Consider the following 20,047-nt stretch of genomic DNA (forward strand, 5'->3'; position numbering starts at 1 on the left):
AAATTTTAAATAAATAAGTTTTTTTAAAAGAAGAGTTTAACAACTAACATAATTGATATTTCAATTTCCTCTTTTTCCCTCATTCATCTTTTGATGGCTCTTTTACTAAGAAATAAAATCTGCAAAAGGCAAAAAGAATGGAAAAAGTGATATAAGAGACTTTGATAAACTCAATATGCATTATTACCCCTGAAGAAAGATATCACTACATGATTATCTATTTATAAAAACACCCTAAAACTAATCTAATAGGCATATAATGAGAATATAAGCTACATAATTACTACTACCCGGTGCCTTTGCCAAAATATTAAAGTTATAAGCTATGATGTCATTCTAAATATGAACTCTAAATATTTTAAATTTTTACTTCTTTCTGTAAAATCTAAAGCTTTTCTTTGAGATACTTTTTCTTCTATTTCAGCTTTAAAGTAAATATTAGCATGTGATCACATTTCTATCTGACAGTCTACTGTTTCAGAAATCCTACTACTAGACAAAAAAATGTTTTAAATATGTTTTATTCTATTTCAACTTAATCTTTGAAACAATTAACTTTGTACCTCTGGCTGCTGCAGCTGCTAGTTACTTGACCCCGAGTGTCATACCCAACCACAAAGCCTCTCTGCTTGAAGTCTGAGAAACATCTCTCAAGGTATTTGTACATCCCCTGAAGCAAATAAACACAAAAGATTAGTTCTAATGGATGCTTGCATTTCATATGACTCAGAATCTCTTATTTTTATGTTTGCTGTGCAGCTGACTGGCTGCTAGGGAAGTGGCTTCTGCCTTTATGCCCATGTTTACCAGTGTGGGAGCAATACTGTTCAATCCAGAAATGTAAGATGACAAACATGTCCTGGAGTTTCAGACACATTTAATACCATGGAAATACCGATTTAGTAACCACTACTAAACCACTAAATCCAATACAATAAGTAAAACATTAGGAAAAGCAGAAGAAACATGAGCGTCAATAAGCTAAAAAAAAAAAAAAGATTAGAAGAGCCAACATAAAATTGTTTCTTGTCTGAAGGCTCTAGAAAACAGAATTTTAATTGTCTTAAGTCCTTGCTAGATCATATGATTGAAGTTAACCAAAAGATTTGACCTATTTATGATGTAAACATTTTTAATCAGCAACACAGTTCTTCACTAGAACATTTCTTATGATGGATGATCCCATTTGTAATTCTTTGGTTTTAAAATCTCACAGAAAAATAACACCATAGACTAGGAAAATTTGCAGTCATGGATGACAAAATAATGAAAAAGTATTTCATATTGAAAACATCACAATGACAAACTAAAACCATTTAACTATCTCATGAATTATTTAACTTTAATAAATACTTTAATATCTAAAAATAACATTTTAACATTTTATATTATTACAGTCCTTTAAAATTAGTTCTACATAAAAGATGGGACATGTAATCCTAACACCCTGAAAAGAAAGAAACGCAGACACCATTTCTAATTTGGTCTCTTTCAATATTTCTTTTAAGAATAGGAGACAATAAGATTAAAGCTCCATGTAATGTCATGCCTAAGGCCATTCATTCAACTAAAACTAAGTTATACTGATTTATTGAAGACCTATTATATGGCAGGCACTGCTAAATAAGTATGTGGTAGCACCAAACAAAGTCCCAGTGACTTCTGGTGCCTGAGTCTCTCAAGTACAATTAATTTCCCCAACCTATAAGCTATGAGTGAGTGCATGCTTAGTATATCAGCTGGATTCAACAACTTATTTCTCATGGTGATACTATCCTAAAACCTCATAGACCCTCATATTAATCTCTGCTATCAGAATGCATCTTATTTCTCTATATGCATTAGGTTGGTGGAAAAGTAATTGTAGTTTTTGCCATTAAAAAAAATGACCAAAACCTCAATTACTTTTGCACCAACCTAATAGAGTGAAAAGGGCTAGGGCTTAAGAATCAGATTCCATCCAGCTTTTCCACTTCACACCATGGAATCCCAAATCCAGTGAAAATGTGCACTTCTGTAGAAATTGCTTTTCAAACACCTCCCCCACCCCTTTTTGTAAAGTCAAGAAATCTTTACTTCGAATCAAAGCATATGAAGAGACTAAATGTATAAGAAAAGAATGAACTAAAGCATCTCTGGTTGAGGAATAGGGGGAGGTGTGGGTGAGGAAGGAGGGCAGGTATTCTACCTATGTAACCATCCTGTCATTCCTTCTCTCCTACCCCTGCATTAGGCCTTGGCTTTAGAGAATTCTCTCAGAATAAGGTTAAAGATGATTTACTGTTTGGGAGTATCAATTAGAATTATGTCTACTGAACAATTCTCTAGCCCAGAACTATTTTTAGTATAAGCTAAATACATTATTGGCCTCAAAAGTATAGTTATTTGAAACAGGATGATTCACTGCAAAGAGAAGCAATTTGTTTCTAGAGTGAGCTGCATAACAATGGAGAGAAGTAACACAAATTATATCATATTACACAACTAATATTAACTCTCATGTGGATATAGAAAACCACATAAAGGATATGTGATAGAGGAAAATATTTTCAACTAAATTTTCCAAATACTCTGGTTAACCTTTATAAATGGCCATATGCCAAAATGAGTAATTATTTTCTTCTATCTAAGTTTGTTTCTTTGTATTAATTGGATATGCTAATATACATTTCTTGGTTTCAAATGCAAAGCAACATTGTTAAGAAGTTGACAATGGCAACCAAAATAACGCTTAATCAGAAAGTCAGTCTGTGACCATGAAGATACATAAATGACTTCTAAAATCTTGAGCAAGACTAAAGGTCAGAATTGAGTCTACAGTTTTTACTTACATAACAGTAACTTCTGGGAAATAAAGTTTTGTGTGTGTGTGCGTTTAGAATGGCACTACCTAATTTATAAAGCCAAAAAAAAAAAAAAAAAAAACCAGACTGAGAAAAAGTACACTTTTTTTTTGAGACAGAGTCTCGCTCTGTTGCCAGGCTGGAATGCAGTGGCGCGATCTCGGCTCACTGCAACCTCCGACTCCCAGGTTCAAGCGATTCTCCTGCCTCAGCCTCCCGGGTAGCTGGGACTACAGGCACACGCCATCATGCCCACCTAATTTTTGTATTTTTAGTAGAGACGGGGTTTCACCATGTTGGCCAGGATGATCTCGATCTCTGGACCTCGTGATCTGCCCGCCTCAGCCTCCCAAACTGCTGGGATTACAGGCATGAGCCACCATGTCCAGTCAAAAGTACACTCTTAATACTTTATAATACTTACCTGTGTTGACTGTATTACTGTAAGGTCATTAATATAGCAAAACCCTGCCCCCATGGCAGAACGAAGTCCTGCAGTCCCAAAAGTCATTCGGCAACAAAGACGATCTCGCAGCTCCTTGTTCATCCCATTCCGTAACAGGTTTTCAATCTGCTCTTTTGTTTTGGGATTCTATAAAAAAGAAGTATTAAAACTTAACCAGGAATCCAAGCAGAGTCCTAATATTAAGCCCTTCTGAGGGGTCAATATGTACATATCACAAGGTTCAACATTCAATATAAATTCCACAGTGCTACTTCTTTGTATGTATAATAAAATAATACCTGCCATTCACTGAGTCCCCAAAGGAGAAAGGGCCTGTTGAGGGTGATTTATATATCTTTTAATTTTATAGTATTTGTATAGCATATCAAAGAATGTTCTTTTAAAATAATTGATATTTAAGAGCTTTGAATCCAAAATAAACCTCTTAGTAAAAAACGACATCAATTAAGTTAGAGTCTATGTTAGGTTTCAATCATAGTTCACTGTAACCTCAAACTCCTGGGCTCAAGTGATCTAGCCTCAGCCTCTTGAGTAGCTGGGACTACAGGTATGTGCCACTACACCTGGCTAATACATTAAGTTTTAAGAGAAATAGAGACACTACTGGATAAATACCATCAAAACATGCCTACCAGTTACCTGCCTAGACCTCTGCAATTCAAAATGAATTCTACTCCTTAAAAATCACAGAAAACGATTCAATTTATCTATGGCACAAGTTGACCATAAAAACGTTTTATGTGTTAAGTGTGAATTTAATTAAGAATGAGAATACAAATTCATTCCAAACACGGTTTGTGAGGCAGTGCATGCCAACATCTATATTTGGGATTCTGTATTTCATTGTCGTGTACTTTAACTTATTTTCATAAATCTCAAGAATACCTGTCACTGAAAATGGTGCTTCACAAAAGAATATCAAATTTCAAATAGAAATGCATTTATAATAACAGTAAGACTTACATGGAATTTTCCAATATTTTCTTTTTGGAAAAGTCAAATATTAAGGAAATAAGATGAAACATAACTTCTCTCTTCAAGATTAATATGAATTCAGTCCATTCTATTTGCTTCTTCAACATCCATAGTATATACAATGATAATGAATATTCAGAATAATAAACCAGTGCACATAAAAGGTGCTAAATATTACAGTATATTTGTCCTTAGAAATACATAAAAACATATTAATATACAATTTAAACAAAATGGTTTTCTGGTTATAGTAGAAATTAAAGTAACCAGAGTACATGGCCAAACTAATGAGAAGTTGAATGAGATTAACTGAAATTTTAATCTGCTTAAAACTAATGGATGATATATAAAATCCAGACTCAAGCAGTTTCTGTTTCATAAATGGCACACACTAACAAATAACCTACATAAAAATATGAATAGCTATTATGGAAAAATATGAATAACAATATCTGGGATATTATCATGTCTAAGATACCATGATATTTCATAGAGAGGCCAAAGAGAGTTGAAGAGGGCTAACATTTAAAGATGGGCATAAGAATGGCAAAAATTGAATAGACTCTTCACGTTTAGAGGGTACATAGCACTGTAATACCCTGCTAGTAGGAATGTAAACTGGGATAGTCTTTTTACAGTGCTTTTACAGCAAGTATCAAATTTTAAATTGCACATGCCTTTTGGCCCATAGATTTCTGTCCACAAAAATACCTTCACATGAACAATAACATTTATTCATATAAGAATGTTCACTGCAGCATCTGTATGGATAGTATTATTATTAATATTACTATTGTGTAGACGAAGAAACTAAGATTTAGAGAGGGAGCCTAGTATCACTGAGGTGGCATTGGAAATTTAGACAGGATGGGAACCTAGGCTGGGCTGGCTCTAAAGCCTACACCATCTCACTACAGACAAACAAAATAATTGTGTTGGGGTGTTAATAATGCTTCTGATAACAATTTAACTCCAGTTACAAAGCAAAACGATATTCCTTTTTATAACAAGTATAGTGTGTGTGTATATATATATAGTATGTATATATAGTATAATGTGTATATAGTATATATGTGTGTATATATACAGTATGTATATATGTATATATGTAGTATGTATATATATCTAATGAGTATATATGTGTATATACACATTATGCATATATGTATGTATATATACGTATGTATACACACACACATATATAAATGATCCAGCAGACATAAATGCTGTTGGTTACTGAGTATACTTCCTAATGTTTAACTGCACAGCTACTAGAGTAGGGCCTAAAAATTCCATTCCCAGTTACAGACTTCACAACCAGTACTAACCTAATTCCTGGTTGTTGAAAAACTGGTAAGTTAGAGAAAAATAAAAATGAATAAAAAATCATGATATACTAGACATAATAAATACATTTGTATGGCAAAAAAAGCTAAATAATTATGACAACTGGCATTTGAAATCTACTTTACACTCAGATTTCTCCCCTATTTAACAGTGAGACATTAATTTAGATGTTGATGTTATAAACTTTTAAAAATATAACCTAAAAAACTATCTATGCAGCCATAATTATCACATATTCTCCATTCAGATGAACTTACATTTGTATTTTTTTGCTAAAGTCAATATATCACTACGATTTTATAAACTATAATATATGAAGATTCTAAAGAATTATAAACTAATTATCATTATTATTATTTCTTTTTTTTTTTTTTGAGACGGAGTCTCGCTCTGTCACCCAGGCTGGAGAGCAGTGGCGCGATCTCGGCTCACTGCAAGCTCCGCCTCCCGGGTTCACACCATTCTCCTGCCTCAGCCTCCCGAGTAGCTGGACTACAGGCGCCCGCCACCACGCCCAGCTAATTTTTTGTACTTTTAGTAGAGACGAGGTTTCACCGTGTTAGCCAGGATGGTCTCGATCTCCTGACCTCATGATACGCCCACCTTGGCCTCCCAAAGTGCTGGGATTACAGCCGTGAGCCACCGCGCCGGCCAACTAATTATTTTTAAATGAAATTTTTATGTAGAACTCAGGTATAGTAAATGAAAAGGAGAGCAGAAGAGTATATACAGTGTTTTCATTTCTATAAAAAGAGGTATGTGTATATTTATATATCATCTAGAAGTATTCCATGCAAATATAAGAGACTAAAAATAGTGATTACCTCTGAAGGGGATATTAGGCATGGGGTTTCAAGTAGAAAAGTGACTTATTTTTATTGGATAGCCATGATGCTGTTTGGATATTTTATGTATATATCACTTTTTTATGGTTAAAAACTAGTTAGGTATTCATGATGGCTGAGAAAAACCACTACTTGTGTGTCTATGTGAATAATTTTTTACCTCACAAATTGCTCTCCTTTTCCCATTCACAGAAAGCTACTGATAAGATCTGAATCTATAAAACATATATTGGCTTTCTCTCAAATGCAAATTATTGTTTGCTTTCTGAATGTGCTCTCTTATTTACAATTCACTGATTACTTGGGGGTAGAAGCCTAGTCAGGAAAAAAAAAAAAGAGGAGGAAGACAGTAGGAAAACTATTTGACTGACCTGCTTTGAAGAAACATACATACCAGGCTGGGCACATTGGCTCATGCCTGTAATCCCAGCACTTTGGGAGGTCGAGGCGGGCGGATCACCTGAGGTCAGGAGTTCAAGACCAGTCTGGCCAACATGGCGAAACCTTGTCTCTACTAAAAATACAAAAATTAGCTGGGCATGGTAGCATGTGCCTGTAGTCCCAGCTACTTGGGAGGCTGAGGCAGGAGAATCACTTGAACTAGGGAGGCAGAGGTTTTAGTGAGCCGAGATTGCGCCACTGCACTCCAGCCTGGGCAACAGAGTAAGACTCCGTCTCAATTAAAAAAAAAAGAAAAAGAAAAAGAAATATACACACTGACCTATTATATAAAATGAAAATTAATTATTTAGAAAGTAAATGCATTCAATCTGAAATAAATTTGCTTTTAACTAGCATATCTTAGAATCCTAACAATTTTAGTACTCCAAAAAAGTAATCCTGCAGAAAATCCAAAAGATCTTAGTGACTACTAGCATTTCTCTGTACTTCATCAGTAATAAAGCTAATTGTTTAGTATGAAATCAGTAAGGTGCAGAATACAGAAAAAAGCCATACATTATTTTCAAATTTTACCTGTATACCAAAAATTTTCCTTTAGGTTCTAATCCTATGGTTTGCTTCAACTTTACATGGCTGAAATGAAGAAAAGAAAGTGTCTTCTTACATAGTACTTGTGGAGTTTTCTTTTTTCTATATTGTAGAACCATAAGGCCCAAATTCAAAGAAAACATGAAAGAATTGATTTTTCCAAAACCACTTAAAAAAATTAACTTCTTACAAACTTTCACAGATGTGCAGAAGGTTACACACCAGACCAAAATTCACATCAACTCTGCCTGCTGACCAATGAAAGTATTAACATTCACTTATGAAGGATCATTTTGAACTTGCCCAAGTTTTCTGAACCTATTCTGTTCATAACTAGGGACTTCTATATTATTTATGTATAATAAATATAAATGTCTATAAAAGAGTGTAAAAAAAGTAATCAAGTTTGCCAATGAGAAGTGCGTTAGTTTGTCTGCATTGGTATAAAGGAATACTTGAGGCTGGGTAATTTATAAAGAAATAAGTTTTATTTGGCTCATGGTTCTGCAGGCTGTACAAGCACAGCACCAGCATCTGCTCCACTTCTGGTGAGGCCCAGGAAGCTTTTAGTCATCGCAGAAGGGAAGGATAGCCAGCCTATCACATGGTGAAGGAGGGAACAAAAGAGAGCTGCCAGGCTCTTCAACAATCAGCCCTCATGTGAACTAACAGAGTGACAACTCCTTATTATCACCAGCAGAGAACCAAGCTATTCATGAGGGAACCACCTCCATGACCCAAACGCCTCCCACCAGGACCCACCTCCAATATTGGAGGTCACATTTCAACATGAGATTTACAGGGGACAAAACAGCCAAACCATATTAAAGAGTTTGCCTGTAAATCTTTTTTCCTACTTATCTTATAAACCTACTATTTTAATAATTCTAACACAATTTGAATCTACTCTATTAGTATTCTAGTACAAAACCTAACAGCTTAAATACACTCAAAAACATGAATCGTATTGTTTAGAAGATTGGAACAGATCTAAAAGAACATAATATATATTAAAAATCCCAAATTCAGGCTGGGCGCGGTGGCTTATGCTTGTAATCCCAGCACTTTGGGAGGCTGAGGTGGATGGCTCACCTGAGGTCAGGAGTTTGAGACCAGCCTGGACAACATGGTAAAACCCCGCCTCTACTAAAAATACAAAAAATTAGCCAGGTATGGTGGTGGGCACCTGTAATCCCAGCTATTCGGGAGGCTGAAGCAGGAAAATTGCTTGAATGTGGGAGGCGGAGGTTAGAGTGAGCCGAGATCATGACATTTGCACTCCAGCCTGGACAACAAGAGTGAAATTCTGTCTAAAAAAAAATCCCAAATTCTAATATTGTTACACATCTAAAGGGGAGCCAATATACAAAATTGACTCTTAAGAACTCAAATACTTCTAAAGTTGCAAAATTGTACATAACATTTTTAAATGTTACTGACAGAGACTTGTGTCTAAATAATAAATACCAGTTTTATATAACTACAGAGAAAAACATTTTTATTTTGTTTATCTATTTATTATTTTGCCCCTCATCTTGAATGAAAGACAAACAAATTTTAAAGTTTATTTCTAACCAGAAGTTAAAACAGGAAAGTGCAATCTGAAAATCTGAAAGGTAAACACAGCTGACATTTACTTCTGAGGGTAAGCCGATTTGAAGATCCAAGTCTAGAGTCTTGGAGCAGAACAGCTTTTCTAAATCAGATGTTTCTTTATTAAGTCCAAAATATATTCATGCTAAACCAATCATTCTTTCCTATTTAAATAATTTTTGTGTAATTCTAAATTTAATTTCCTTATCTTTAAAAAATTGGTAGAAATTAACATAAATTTGGCTTAGATAAAAAACTTGAATATAAAATATACTCATCATATAAAATGAGATTTATTTGAATAATTGCTTAATAAACACAAAAATCATATCCATGAAATGAAGTACTAATTACCCCCAAAGTAGAAAATAATCCTTGAAATATTATCATTTAAGAATATTAGATATACCAAATTAGTGTGAAAAATTTAAAAAAGTTAATTATTTTGTTTCAAAAAAACCTATCTTTTTTTAAAAAAACTATAATTTTAACAAAGCACATACATTGAGCTCAATTTTACTGTTCAATGACATAGTCTAACTTGTCTCTGTTAAGTTTTAAGTAAAAAATATTTCTCATATAAGGTAGTCAACATAAAATATTTCAAATGTTTATTGTCTTTCTACAACTATTCTGACACATCATACTTTTCTTGACCAACAAAGAATCCAATTATTGGCTAATGTGCTCAGTAGACCACTGCAGGAGAGAAAGATCACTGAACTATAATTCTAGAAGGTTTGGCCCTGATCTTGAGTCAGCAATTGCTTAGCTAGATCATCCTGAACAAGTCACTTCACCTTTCCTTAGACTTTAGATTCCAAGCAGATGTGATGATTTTTGAGATTAACTTTTCAAACTCTACAGGTTTTGTCAGTAAGTGATCATGTGAGGCACTAAGTATACTAAGTTCAAGGGTTCCAGTAGCATCTATTACTAGCTTTATGACCTTGAACAGGTAATTTCACTCCAGTATCCTCACCTGTAAAAAACAGGAATCATGTTCTACTCTTCTTCCTGGGCACCATGCCAGCCTCCCTTGGAGCTAAATGAGACCATGTGACAGAGTTGTGGTCACTGGATATGAAAGAGATGTGCACCACTTCCATGCCTAGCCCCAGACCTACTCCCCCACCACTCCTCTTTCCCCATTTACCCATTAAACAGAGAGGACTCTAAGGACCTAGAGGAGTATGTAGCAACAAGATGGAATAAATGATTTCACGGAGCAAAATCCCCCTCTTTTACCTCCTACCTCATGGACCAGCCCTGGGCTGTAACGTGAGCAAGAAATAAATTTTCACTGTGTAAGCCACTGAAACTTTGGCGTATTTGTAGGGTTTTTTGTTTGTTTGTGTTTTTGTCTTTTTTTTTTTTTTTTTTTTTTTTTGAGACAGAGTCTCGTTCTGTTGCTCAGGCTGGAGTACAGTGGGGATATATCAGCTCACTGCAGCCCGGACCTCCTGGGCTCAAGTGATCCTCCTGCCTTGGCCTCCCCAAAGTGCTAGAATTACAGGTGTGAAGCCACTGCACCCAGTGTAAGTAATATTTGAACTGAAAAGTGAAAGATCAGTAGGAGTTGGATTGTGGAGCAAGGAGGGTGAGGAACAAGTTGGGAGTAGAGAGATAATGAGTTCAGTATTAGACTTACTGAATTTGAAATAATATCTATACCCAGCACGCTAACCATTGCTTCCCCCCCACCCCCACCAATGGTAACCTAGGAAATGAAAATTAAAACAAGATACCATTTTTCACCTAAAAATTTATTAAGAATTTTTAAAATGAGTAAGCCCAGTGCTGGGGAATGAAAATTAACTCTAGTAACCAAGGAAATGAAAATCAAAACAAGATACCATTTTTTCACCCAAAACTTGATTAAGAGTTTTTAAAATGAATAAGCCTAGTGCTGGAGAATGAGAGTGTATTTATTGTTATGGCTTAGTAAAAAACCACTCTAAACTTAATGGTTTCAATCAATAATCATTAATTATCTTTCACAGTTTCTATGGGTTAGGAATTCAGAAAGGGCACAGCCAGGATGGCTTGTCTGTGTCCTGCTGTAGGCTTGTCTATCTGGCAGTGATGCTGACTGTAGGCTGGGGCCTAGTGGAGGCCATCAAATGGAACACCTACAGAGGCCACTCCTTGTGGCCTCGGTTTCCTTGCAATGTTGGGTTCCAAAGGCAAGTGTCCCATGAGCAAGCAAGCCAAGTGGAAGTCATATTACCTTTTATGGCCTAGCCCTGAAAGGCAGGTTAGCTTCCACTGCACTGTATTTACTATTTTTATTTTTATTTTTATTTTTTTGAGGCAGAGTATCACTCTGTCACCTAGGCTGGAGTACAGTGGTGCAAACACAGCTCACTGCAGCCTCTGCCTCCCAGGCTCAAGCAATCTTCCTACCTCAGCCTCCCAAGTAACTGGGACTACAGGCATACACCACTGTGCCTGGCTAACTTTTTAATTTTTTGTAGAGATTGGGTCTTGCCATGTTGCCTAGGCTGGGCTTGAACTCCTAGCTTCAGGCAATACTCCCGCCTCAACCTCCCAAAGTGCTGAGATTACAGGCATGAGCCACCGCACCTGCTTTGTACTATATTTCTTTAGACAGTTACAAAAGTCCACCCAGGTTCCAGCAGAGGGAACACAGATCCCACCTTTCAATTGAGGAGTACCAAAGTCACACAATAAGAAGAGCATGTGGAATGGGACATATAGGTGCAGCCGTCTTTAAAAACACAATCTGCTACAGAGGGACTATAAATCAATACAACATCTCAGATGACAATTTGCCAATGTTTTAAGTAGCTTAAATATTAAATAGTCTTTGTTTTAGCAATTCTACTTCTAGAAATTTATCCCAAGGAAATAATCACGGATTCATGTTATGATTTAGTCATAAGGATATTCACTAAAGTAATGTTAATAATAAAAAAGTAAGCAAGCCACATGTTAATAGAAAACTGGTTAAATAAAAAGGCTGATGTAATAATACATTAAAATAATGTATTAAAAAATCACAATAGAATTTTAATATGCAAAAACACTTAGATATATTAAGGGAGTAAGTATATAAACCATACATGCAATACAATTCCAAATTTGTAAAATACACATAAATGCACAGAAAAATAAAACTAAAAAAAAATGTGATTGTTCCTTATATCTTTATAGGGAAGGATTACTTATGTAATCAAGGAGAAAAGTTTACAGAATACAAATTAACCCCAAACTCTTATTTATTTAAAATTTTACTTTATTTTATATTCCAGATACATGTGCCAGTTACATAGGTAAATGTGTGCCATGGTGGTCTGCTGCACCTATCAACCCATCACCTAGGTATTAAGTCCCACATGCATTAGCTATTTATCCTGATGCTCTCCCTCCCCACGCCTCCCAGACAGGCCCCAGTGTGTGTTGTTCCCCTCCCGGTGTCCATGTGTTCTCATTGTTCAGCTCCCACTTGTAAGTGAGAACATGCGGTGTTCGGTTTTCTGTTCCTGTGTTAGTTTGCTGAGGATAATGGCTTCCAGCTCCATCCATGTCCTTACAAAGAACATGATCTCAATCCTTTTTATGTATACATAGTATTCTATGGAGATATATAAATAAATATATATATATATATATAACATTTTCTTTATCCAGTCTATCACCGATGGGTATTTGGGTTGATTCCATGTCTTTGTTATTGTGAATAGTGCTGCAATGAACATACGTGTGCATATATCTTTATAATAGAATGATTTATATTCCTTTGTAACCCCAAACTCTTAACCTGTGGATTAATGTCATTCATCAGTTTAGGAAATTTCATAGTAACTATCTCTTTCCTCTCCTTAAGAGATTCCAATGAATAGCATGTTAGACCTTTTCCTGTATCATCTTATGTCTCGTAGCCTCTCTTTTACTCCCCCACTCCCCCCGCATCCTTTTGTCATTCCATGCTTTGTTCTGACTATTTTTCACTGACCTATCTTGTAGTTTGTTAATTCTCTCTCTGATTCCTCTCTAAAGTGTTGTTAAATTTGTTCATTGAATTCTTAATTTTGGTTATTGTATTTCTTCAGCTTCAGAATTTCTATTTTTAAAAATTTACTTTTTGTATTATTTTCATTTCTCCACCAATTTTTTTAACTTATGAGATTACTCTTACTTCTGCTCTCTGCTCAATTTTAATCTTTTTTAATCTTCTTGATCTTGACAATCTTAGTTATTTTAAAGTCTACATTTGATAAATATAGGAGCCCTTGCCGGTCAGTTTGCATTATCTGTTGTTTCTGCAGGTTCTTGTTTATGTTGACTTGCTTCCTTATATGTTTGGTTATCTTTGACTCTGTACTATTATATTTATATTATTTTTGTAATATTAGGTATTATATTTAAAATATTATTAGTAGGAATAATTTGGAAACTAAGATGAAGCTACCTCCCTCCAGGAAACTTGTTGTTGTTGTTGTTTGTTTGTTTGTTGTTTTGCTTTTCTTAGGCATCTGAAAGCACTAGCAATCTAGGTTCACTTTAATCCAATTTCCAAGCCATCCAAATGACTCAAAACTGGAATATAGTCTGTATGCGGAGTGTTTACTTTGAGTTCACCAGTATTCACAGGGCAGCCCTTTGGACTTCTAACCTAAAGTAAGAGTGTTTTCAGGGTCTCCACCCGCAATAGGGCCTAGATTCCAACTTTTGTCCCGCTATACTAGCAAGGCTAACAAAAAGACTGACAATCTTCTTAGCTGCCTATCCTGATCAATAAATGTGCCCTGGGCAAAAGTGGCCCCCTAAATACTAAACTCAGCTCTCTGAATTTCTGTCTTCTTCTAGATCATGGCCTGGAATTTCCTTCTTCTTCCAAATCTTAAACTGGAAACTCTTGACTAACATTAAATAACACCTTCAAACAGATTTTTAAATCTATATTTTGTCTGTTTTTTCCAGTTGTTGGAGGAAGATTGTCCAAATTACCTCATCTGTCATTTCTAGAAGCAGAAATCTTTCTATCCTACAACACTGCACTATATAGTATGGCTTTACTACACTTAACTTACATGTACTCCACTATATGTATTTAGCCCTGCCTCCTAAATATTAAAATTGTATTTTGTGTATGTGCTCTATTATATATGGCACATTACTACATATGTTACATATTCTCATATATTACTGTGTAAGGATAGATATTTGAAATCATGTATCTTGTAGTTCTTGGACAATTTAAGGGTTTACAAGGGTGATTTTAAAATTTTATACCATTATCATTATTTATTGACTTTGGAATCTAACTCCTAAGTAAGACAAGACTCCATTATACCAGAAATGTTCTCATACGGAAGTTGCCTATTTGGGATACTACAGAACATGTTTTTATTCTGAGTAGGAGCTTAAATAAGATAATATCTATATTTCTGTCAACTGAGATTCCATAGTTTTATGCTTAATTTAACGTATACTCAGACAAAAGATTCATGGCTTGATGTTTAATGCATATTTTGAAATGGCGAAAATACTACCAACAGGAGAACCCTGCCCATCAGCATAAAAACCACCAAGAAAGGAAACAATAATATGCTTTTTCTTTTTCAATAAAGCCCAAATTCCATATTCTTCTGAAATTAGGCTACAATTATGGTCTGACAGCATTTCCCAGAAGTTAAATATCTCTGTATCATGTATATGTCATCTTTACATGTTATAGAAATAATCTAAGGGAAAAAATTATATGCAAAATGATGCTGTCAGCATTATTCAAAATAGTTTTTAAAAATCAGAATACTTTAAGACATCCAGCAAAAAGGAAATGGTTAAATATGATATATTTACCAAGTGAAATACTATGCTGTCAATAAAATTATAATTATGTTCTACGTGATAAAAATTACATATATAAATTCAAAAGACAAACTGAGAAAAAAACATTTGTAATACATGATACATCAAAGACTTATTTCTTTGGCATTAAAACAGGAGAAAAGATTAATAACTCAATAGAAAAGCTAGCAAAAGATATGAATAGTTCATAGAAAAGGAAATACAGCTATCTTTTAAGTATATGAAAATATACAACCTCACTTATAAGAAAAATGGAAATTAAAGCTAAAATAAAATATAGTTTTTATTTTTCACAATGGCAAAGAAAAATATTTGATACTGCATGGTAGAGTCAAGAATTTGAGAAAGCAGGCACTTTTATATATTATTGGTAGAATAATACATTGGTGCACACTCTCTGTAAGGCAATTTGGCAATATCTGTCAAAAAAAAAAACTTTTTTTTTTTTTGAGGTAGGGTCCCACTCTGTCACCCAGGCTGGAGTGCAGTGGTGCCATCACAGCTCACTGCAGCCTCAACCTCCCAGGCTCAAGCAATCTTCCCACCTAAGCCTCCCAAGTAGCTGAGACTATAGGCACATGCCACCATGCCCACCTAATTTTATTTACTTTTTGTAGAGATGAGGTCTCCCTATTTTGCCCAGGCTGGTCTCAAACTCTGGGGCTCAAGCAATCCTCCTGCCCTGGCCTCCCAAAATGCTGGGATTACAGGCATGAGCCACCACACCCAGCCTCCCACAGTTATCTTCATTTAAGTGAAAAACAAAATGATATTTTAACTGAAAAAGAAAATCAAACAAAACCCTAGTATTCCTAGATATGCCTTGGTTACTTTGAGGAAAGGAAGAAGGGAGGAAAATGGAATCAGAGAGGTGGGCATGTGAATTTAAATTATAATTTCTTTCTTTTAAAAGATGTGATTCAAAGTTAGCAAAATATATGATTTAACGAAATGGGAACTATCATTTTCTGTCTTTTTAAAAAGAAGACAGAGATCAATTTGCTAGTGAGTCTTATGGCTTCTTTTCCTGATTTTCTCACAAAGCAAACATCCTTATGTAAAACTTTTATATCTACATTTCTATGAGAGTTTCCAGGATCCCCTCCACAACTCCATTCCATCTCATCCTAATTACATGCTGCAGCCAGATTAATCAGCCAAGAATCAGCAATAGAGTTCAATTCTCATTACATCAAATGTAAAAATTAGAAAGGTTGGGGTCAGATCCCAAAGGGCAAAGGAGTTTGAAACCTTCTTGGATTCAAATAGTCCCCTCTCTCTACACTTCTCTGAGCCTGGGTTTGTGCATAGGCTTAAAAAAATGGAAATAACTACCTCAAACAATCCTTGGGAGAATTAAGAGACTTTCTACATGAAAGCATCTAGTAAGTACCATGTCTGGTACATGATCACTCATAAACACTAGTTTTCCTTCACCTATACTTACTCACCATAGTAGCACAATACATACGCTATACTTAAGAAATCTGTTCATGGTTTCTGCATGCCTCCTGCTCAGTTTCATTTCCCTGATCAGTGTCATTTTCCATTTTATGATTCTACTGTGCCCATTTTAAATTTTTGCCCCATATCCATTATCTATTTGTATCCTACTTACCCTTCAAGTCCCAGCTCAAATTCTACCTCTTACAAAAAATCTTCCTGACTTTGAACTCCTATTGCCCTTAAAAGCCAATGTCAGACAGTTAACCACTTAATTTTTATTTATATTTTAAATTTTACTTTATTATGAATTACAGTAACACATTTCTCTTATTTTAAAAATACTAATAATACAGATAAAGCTGCAGACATCATTGACCATTACTTTCATTCCCAGACCCCACCTTTAGAGGTGCCGCTTACAGCTTGTAATACATTCTTCCAGACCTTTACTACACATCTACATACTTGTAAAATGCAGTTTTGCTTTAACTCTTTTTTTACATATATGGCATCAAATTGTACATGTTGTTCTATAACTTGCTTATTTCATGTATATCTTGCACAGAGGGCCAAATACTGCATGATTTCACTTATATGAGGTATCTAAAATAGTCAAATTCATAGAATTAAAGAGTGGAATGATGGTTGCCAGATGCTGGAAGGGAAGGAGGAATGGAGAGTTGCTAAGCAAGAGGCATAAAGTTGCAGTTAAGCCAGATGAATTCATTATAGAGATATGCTGTGCAGCACTGTACCTACAGTTAACCATACTATATTGAATACTGGAAAATCTGTTAAGAGGGTAAATCTCATGCTAAGTGTTCTTAATATGATAAAATAAAATTAAAAAAAATATAAACCTATACACCTATGTATCTATATCTCTCTTTATATCTATATATCTTGGAGGTCCTTTTAATACATATAGAGCCATGCTATTCTTTTCACTCCAGAGTGTTCCAGTTTATGTCACCATTTATTTATTCATGGACACTTAGGCTTTTCCCTCATTTTTACCTATATAAATAATGAAATATTTCAGAGAGAAAATGACGTGAAAAAATTCTGAAGCAGAAACACAACATAAAACCATTACTTACGTTAAAGAGGTTTTCTAACAAGGTAGACATTAAAATGTCTTTGAATCAGAGAGATATGGTATTTTTCATTTACCATATTATAGTCTTCATACTCTTTAAGGCATTAAATATGACCATTTCCATTGTTTTGTTTGGTAAGATACACTCCTCATTAAATGACTTGGTGTAAAAGATCTCATGAGGATTGGTGACACTATCTCACTGCCTTCCTGTCTATTCTTCACCAGCATAGAACATTTTCTCCATTAACTCCCGATACTAGAGGGCAGCAGCCTCAGTACTAATTAGTAGTAATGCAGACCACAGTTGACTAATGAAAACAATACTCCTTCAGTAAAATCTGCACTAAATTACTAATCAACCTTTTATTTTGAGGGAAAATATTTCTAAAAAGCCAAACAGACATAAATTAGGTAAAAACAGGTTTCTCCATGAGACAAGCCAATTGTGCTGTCTCTCCAAAAGGAAGGATGAAAGAATTCTGATTTAGATTATCCAGGGATTATCATTGAAATCTAAGCTAATGTAACCAGGTGTGATGGCTTGTGCCTGTAGTCCCAGCCACTCCGGAAACTGAGGTGGGAGGATCACTTGAGCCCAGGAGGCTGCAGTGAGCTATGATCACACTGCACTCTAGCCTAGGTGACAGGGTGAGACCCTGTTTCTCTACAAAACAAAACAAAACAAAAACCCTGAGCTAATGAAATATAATAAGATGTATATTCTTTTGTTAATTCAATGTATCTCACAAGTAAAACCTGGAAGAATCAAATGATGATAAATTCCTTTTTATTAGATTATCCATATTCTTTGATTTTTTTAAATAAGAGGAGAGGAAGAGACAGGAAAAATACTTTTTTAAAAATTTATTTTTTTTGAGATGGAGTCTCGCTCTGTCACCCAGGCTGGAGTGCAGTGGCGCGATCTTGGCTCACTGCAGCCTCCGCCTCCCGGGTTCCAGTGATTCTCCTGCCTGTCTCCTGGGTAGCTGGGATTACAGGCAAGTGCCATCACGCCCAGCTAATTTTTTGTATTTTTAACAGAGATGGGGGTTTCACCATGTTGGCCAGGCTGGTCTCGAACTCCTGACCTCAGGTGATCCGCCTGCCTTGGCCTCCCAAAGTGCTAGGATTACAGACGTGAGCCACTGCGCCCGACCGGGAAAATAATTTTAGATCAAAGACATATCCGAATAGGTTTCTAACGGCCTTGTAGAAAACTTGAAGGAACTGGCCGGGTGCGGTGGCTCACGCCTGTAATCCCAGCACTTTGTGAGGCCGAGGCGGGCGGATCACGAGGTCAGGATATCGAGACCATCCTGGCTAACATGGTGAAACCCCGTCCCTACTAAAAATACAAAAAAAAAAAAAAAAAAAAAATTAGCCAGGCGTGGTGACGGGCGCCTGTAGTCCCAGCTACTCGGGAGGCTGAGGCAGGAGAATGGCGTGAACCCGGGAGGCAGAGCTTGCAGTGAGCCGAGATTGCGCCACTGCACTCCAGCCTGGGCGACAGAGCGAGACTCCGTCTCAAAAAAAAAAAAAGAAAACTTGAAGGAAGTAAACAAACAGCTTTTATGAAAGAAAAAAAAAAAAACAGGGCAAAGAAGTCCCCCAAATAACAAACAGAAGTGCTAGTCTACCTATTTTGAAAACTGTCAGGTGAGACAGGAAGAGCTTTCAAATATGAATCACTCCTTTTCAAATATATCTATGGAAAAATTACTACACTGTGTAGTTTTTCCACACCATCTTCTTTCAGTAAGCAATCTACATTTAAGGTTTCTTCATCTTTTCACAGCTTGATAGCTCATCTCTTTTTGTGGCTTGACAGCTAATTTGTTTTAATCACTGAATAATATTTGATATGCAACAGTTTGCTTATTCATTCACCTATTGAAGGACATCTTAGCTGTTTTCAGTTTCAAGTACATTTTTAATTTGAAGAAATAAAAGTATAAAGATTTTTGGGTCAAGATGAAAGACTTAAACACTTGTCTCCCCTCCCTGAGAACTTATTACAGTGATAGTAAAGGAACGAAAGGACTAAACCTACAATGTAAAAAGAACTGGAGGAAGGGATCAGTGGGTACTGAAGAGTAGATGCAATTTCCACGTACAAAAAGTAGCATGAAACAAAGTGCAATAAGCCCAAACCCAAAATAACTTGATAACATGTACATTTTGTTCTATAATCAAAATGAAATCTTGTCTTCAACATGGATGAACTATGAAGACATTATGCTAAGTGAAATAAGCTAGTCATAGAAAGACAAATATTGTATGATGCCACTTATATGAGGTACCTAGATTAGTCAAATTCATAGAAACAGAAAGCAGAATGGTGGGTGCTAGAGGCTTAGGGGACGAAGAAATGGGGAGTTATTTAATGGGTACAGAAATTCAGTTTAGCAAGATGAAAAAGTTCTGGAGATCTGTTTTTCTTTCCTTAAGATCCATCAATTAATTGTTCAAAATGATGCCCCATTTTAGTTGGCTTCATTTTTAGACCATAACTTAACTTACTCAGCTTTGTCTTTCCTTGCTTATTTGGGTCCTTCATTCTTTCCTTCCCTCCCTCCCTTCCTACTTTCTTCCTGTTTTCCTC

At 35.5% G+C, this 20,047-nt stretch overlaps 1 protein-coding gene across 2 annotated transcripts in view; it reads right to left on the reverse strand.

The window, feature by feature from the left end:
- The window catches only part of PGM2L1 (phosphoglucomutase 2 like 1), a 68,118-nt gene that overhangs the window by 40,832 nt on the left and 7,239 nt on the right, over positions 1 to 20,047 (reverse strand). Inside the window, exons 2-4 of one of the 2 annotated variants that reach the window (XM_011544953.4) lie at positions 10,042 to 10,104; positions 3,268 to 3,435; positions 564 to 670 (exon numbers count right to left, since the gene is read on the reverse strand). In XM_011544953.4, coding sequence (XP_011543255.1) covers positions 564 to 670; positions 3,268 to 3,435; positions 10,042 to 10,104 — 338 coding nt within the window. The remainder of the gene's footprint in view (positions 1 to 563; positions 671 to 3,267; positions 3,436 to 10,041; positions 10,105 to 20,047) is intronic. The other variant, NM_173582.6, reaches the window with a different exon arrangement.

Source organism: Homo sapiens, chromosome 11, assembly GCF_000001405.40.
Source record: "Homo sapiens chromosome 11, GRCh38.p14 Primary Assembly".
In the NCBI taxonomy this organism is placed as follows: Eukaryota; Metazoa; Chordata; class Mammalia; order Primates; family Hominidae; genus Homo; species Homo sapiens.